This window comes from Homo sapiens, chromosome 5, assembly GCF_000001405.40.
Source record: "Homo sapiens chromosome 5, GRCh38.p14 Primary Assembly".
Lineage (NCBI taxonomy): Eukaryota > Metazoa > Chordata > Mammalia > Primates > Hominidae > Homo > Homo sapiens.
Window position 1 is genome coordinate 67,229,251 of NC_000005.10, and position 4,926 is coordinate 67,234,176.

The 4,926-nt window shown below is 40.9% G+C and overlaps 1 annotated feature.

Annotated features, from left to right (window-relative positions):
• Positions 3,803–4,352: an enhancer, noted in NCBI's record as "OCT4-NANOG hESC enhancer chr5:66528881-66529430 (GRCh37/hg19 assembly coordinates)". NCBI's record gives its function as "activates a minimal SCP1, AML or CMV promoter by ChIP-STARR-seq in naive H9 embryonic stem cells {active_cell/tissue: H9 hESC(naive)}" and the evidence as "EXISTENCE:reporter gene assay evidence [ECO:0000049][PMID:30033119]".

Consider the following 4,926-nt stretch of genomic DNA (forward strand, 5'->3'; position numbering starts at 1 on the left):
GGCACTCTGATTTTTAGAATTTTCAGTTTTTCTGCTCTGTTTTTTCCCCATCTTTGTGGTTTTATCTACCTTTGGTCTTTGATGATGGTGACATCCAGATGGGGTTTTGGTGTGGATGTCCTTTCTGTTTGTTAGTTTTCCTTCTAACAGTCAGTACCCTCAGCTGCAGGTCTGTTGGAGTTTGCTGGAGGTCCTCTCCAGACCCTGTTTGCCTGGGTATCAGCAGTGGAGGCTGCAGAACAGTGGATATTGGTGAACAGCAAATGTTGCTGCCTGATCATTCCTCTGGAAGTTTTGTCTCAGAGGAGTACCTGGCCGTGTGAGGTGTCAGTCTGCCCCTACTCGGGGGTGCCTCTCAGTTAGGCTGCTCGGGATTTAGGGACCCACTTGAGGAGGCAGTCTGTCTGCTCTCAGATCTCAAGCTGCATGCTGGGAGAACCACTACTCTCTTCAAAGCTGTCAGACAGGGGCATTTAAGTCTGCAGAGGTTTCTGCTGCCTTTTGTTTGACTATGCCCTGCTCCCAGAGGTGGAGTCTAGAGAGGCAGGCAGGCCTCCTTGAGCTGCGGTGGGCTCCACCCAGTTCGAGCTTCTTGGCTGCTTTGTTTACCTACTCAAGACTCAGCAATGGCAGGCGTCCTTCCCCCAGCCTCGCTGCCACCTTGCAGTTTGATTTCAGACTGCTGTGCTAGCAATGAGCGAGGCTCCATGGGCGTAGGACCCTCCGAGCCATGCGTGGGATATAATCTCCTGGTGTGCTGTTTGCTAAGACTGTCAGAAAAGCTCAGTATTAGGGTGGAAGTGACCTGATTTTCTAGATGCTGTCTGTCACACCTTTCCTTGGCTAGGAAAGGGAATTCCCTGACTCCTTGTGCTTCCTGGGTGAGGTGATGCCTCGCCCTGCTTTGGCTCATGCTCGGTGTGCTGCACCCACTGTCCTGCACCCACTGTCCTACAATCCCCAGTGAGATGAACTCGGTACCTCAGTTGGAAATGCAAAAATCATTCATCTTCTGCATCACTCGTGCTGGGAGCTGTAGACTGGAGCTGTTCCTATTCGGCCATCTTGGCTCCACCAAAGCAAGATTATTATCCTTGTCTCCAACACTAGCATAATGGTGGAAATCCTCCCGCAAATTTCTATGGCATGTATTTTTGACTACTTTATTTAAATACATTTGAAGTGGTACATCCTTTTTACTTTCTGCTAGAATTGTGAGGGTATTAATCATTCCATTCAGGTTTGACTTCTGAATCTAAATATAATGGCATCTTAGAATCTAGGCAGAGTGGAAGATCAACCTGGCACCAGGAAGACCTGGGTTTGACTTTCTCTCCCCCTGGTCATTGATTGAATGACCTTCTGCAAGGTACTTTGCTTCTATGGTATCTATACACCTGGGAAAATGGTGCCTACCCTTAAAAAAATTCACAACAAGATAATTTCAAATAGGGGTATCTACAGGGAGTTGTTTTTACATGAGTGGAATTGTAGATATAATTACTATTATTCCTCCTTCTCTCCCGAGGCCTGATTTGTCACCTGACTTCAGATGTTTCAGCCACTGCCCGTGATGTTGGACTGACCAGTAAGGCAAGGCATGATATTGTTCTTGAGGACAATGATTTCTAAACTAGAAGTAGTGTGAACGAACATCCCTGTCTTGTTCCTGATTATGGAGGGGAGCACATCCACTATTTTCACATGAAGTATGATGTTAGGTGGAGGTTTTTCACAGATGCTCTTTGTCTTAATGAGGAGGCTCCTTTCTATTCCTGGTCTGCTGATAGATTTTGTGATGAATGGATATGGAATCTTGTCATCAGTTTCGCTGCATCTATGGTGATGAGTCTATGGTTTTCTCCTTTGTTCTGTTAATGTGGCAAATTGCATTGGATAATTTTTGAATATCGAACTAATCTTGCATTCCTAGGATGATACCCATTTGGTCATGAGGTATTATCTCTTTTATATGTTGCAGATTGCTATTTACTAATATTTAAAGACCTTTGAATCTATGTTCATAAATGATATCAATCTGCAAATTTCTCTTTGTAATGTCTGTCAGATTTCCATATCAGGGTTAGTCTGGCTTTAGATTTTCTGAAAGACCATGTAAGATTGATATTATTTTCATCTCAAATGTTTGATGGAACTCATTAGTAAAAGTTATCTGGGCCATCAGCTTTCTTGGTGGTAAGGTCTTTAATCACAAATTTAATTTCCTTAATAGGTAAACTAGATAATAAATAAATTTAATAAACTCAATAAAATAAATTTAATAAATAGATATATTCAGATTTTTGTATTTATTCTTGTTCTTTCATAAATTACATTTTCCGGGAATTTGTTCATTTCCCTTAAATTGCCAAATTGATTAGTGTAATTTTTAAAATAATATGCCATTATTATCTTTTAATAACAGCTGTAGTAACTATACTGACACACCTTTAAGTCTGTTATTGATAATTTGTATTTTCTATTTTTTTCCTTGATCAACCTTTCTAGGAATTTTTAAATTTAATGAATGTTTTAAAACACAGTGTTTTCTGTTTGCTGTTTGTTAGCTCATCAGTGTCTGCTTTTGCTGTGGCTGGATGGTTGGCTAGTTTTAATTTGTGTTAGAGATCTGCTTCACAGTGCTGTTAGGGGATTATAATAGCGAATGAGAACTAACAGCTAATAATAAGCTACTTACCAAACTTCCTAGGGGACAGGTCACTTCCTTTACACAGATCATCTCTAATCTTCCATACTAAATTCAGTATTATTTTACCAATTTTGCTAGGATGAAATGGAAGTTTGAAAAGGTTGCATGCCTTGCCTAGGGTCATACAACTAGCAGTAGCTGACCAGGAGTTGGGAACCTGCTGCCAGCTAAGCCTGTGAGATTTCCTCTCTACCATATTGTTTCTCTGCAGGGCTTGAAGGGATTCTGGTGAGTTCATGGATTTGATTTCTCTTGTCTCCAGCTTTTTCCTAGCCTTCCACTCTCACTCATGTGCTCCTCAGACAGAATGTCCTCTACCCTCTGTCAGAACATATCCCTACTAATTTAAGCCCCGGTTAAACACTCAACTCCTCTTCAAAGCAAGTACCGACTCAACCTCACCTGACTGTGATAAACTGTCCAAGTGCAGGTGTTCTGGTTCCAAGTCTGCAGATGAGGCCTGAGAGCATGATTTTATCCTTAAAGATAATTCAGTTAAGTAATACAAATTTATTAAACACAAGTTAATTTATCATGGTTTTTAATGACTTATACTCGTCTAATTCCAAAAACTATACCAGACAGCTTAAAGCAGCATGCATAACATTGTGCTAGACTTTATTTATATTAGTCCTTGTCCCCACAAAAATCCCATGAGGAAGGGATTATTATTCTTTTCCAAGTTCATATAATGAGGAAGGAGCAGGTTCAAATTCATGCCTCCTTTCTCCACTGCCTATGCTTTTTATCACATCCTGCCTATTTACTATTTATACCATAGAGCAAGAAAGATAATTAAAAATATAAATCATGCAAAAGTTGTTTATAATATTGAAACTGTCTTTGCAAAAGTATGATGGAGACAGTGAAAGAGATCTAACTTAACCAACTCCATCTTGCTTCTAACCTCCAAGCTGTCTTTGTTCATTCCTGGGCTTAGGCCGAACTAATTTTGGGAGAAACTTAGTTTATGGTTTAAACAAACACAGTAACAGCCCTTTCCCAAAGCAGACCTCCTTCTTGCCTGGGGACTAGATTGCCTTTGTAGGACTAACATTAGCTAGAAGATTAGAAGTTATGGTTTAGGAGTCATGCAGCTGGAGGCTTCAAGATTCTGACCCTCCCTAAACTGCTCCTAAGATCAGTGCTTGAGATATTTCGCAGACTCTGTACTTGATGGATCAGCTGGCACCACCCGGATTAATAAACTGGCCCACTGATCTTTTGGCCCCCACACAGGAACTGACTCAGAGCAAGAGGACAGCTTCAATTCCCTATGATTTCATCTCTGACCAATCAGCACTCCTGGCTCACTGGCTTCCCTCCACCCACCGAGTTATCCTTAAAAACTCTGCTCCCCAAACGAACGCTCGGGGAGACTGATTTGAGTAATAATAAAACTCCAGTCTCCCGCAGAGCCTGCTCTGGTGAATTTTTCTTTCTCTATTGAAGTTCCCCTGTCTTGATGAATCGGCTCTGTCTAGGCAGGGGGCAAGGTGAACCCCTTGGGCGGTTTCAATATTAGTGACCAGATTCTACCTCTGTTACATTAATGTTTGGAGATTAGCACAAAAACTTGCTTTGAGCTTCCTAGTAGGAAGGAAAAAAAAAAAGAGAGAGAGATAGACCTATGTGCTTACACATTTAAACATATTTAAACATAAATTTATGGTGGTAAATTTGATGAGGAACTTTACACTGAATTAAAAAGTCAGACTATAGTTCAATGAAAAATATTTGAAGTCACTGTTACTCAGTTTCAAAATGTTTTAAAAGTAGATTGTTTAAATCATAATCAATCCTGAATAACACAGTTTACTAAACGTACAGAGCTCAAATTAATAAGAAACAGCCAAATTTCTACTCACTTTGTGCTGTGTAGACCCTGCTAGTCTCCTGTGCCTATTCAAGAATCTGTGGTGGAAATACAGGCATTAGAAAGAAAAGACGTGGGTTTTCCTCCTGGAACCGTCACCTACCACCAGATGGGCACGTGGCACGTTAATTGCTGCCAAATCTCCCTTGCTTCGAGCATCCTCTACCTCTATCTCCAACCCCTTGCAAGAGTACCTTCTCTGAGCATCTCAGATTGGAGTTTCCTTCTTCCATCAGTTTCTGTTTTTCCTCTTTCCAGGATTCCTTACAGTTTATGGTCCATGGGAAGATTCCTACTCTTGTCTCTGAATACATATATATGTATATGTATGCACGTACAT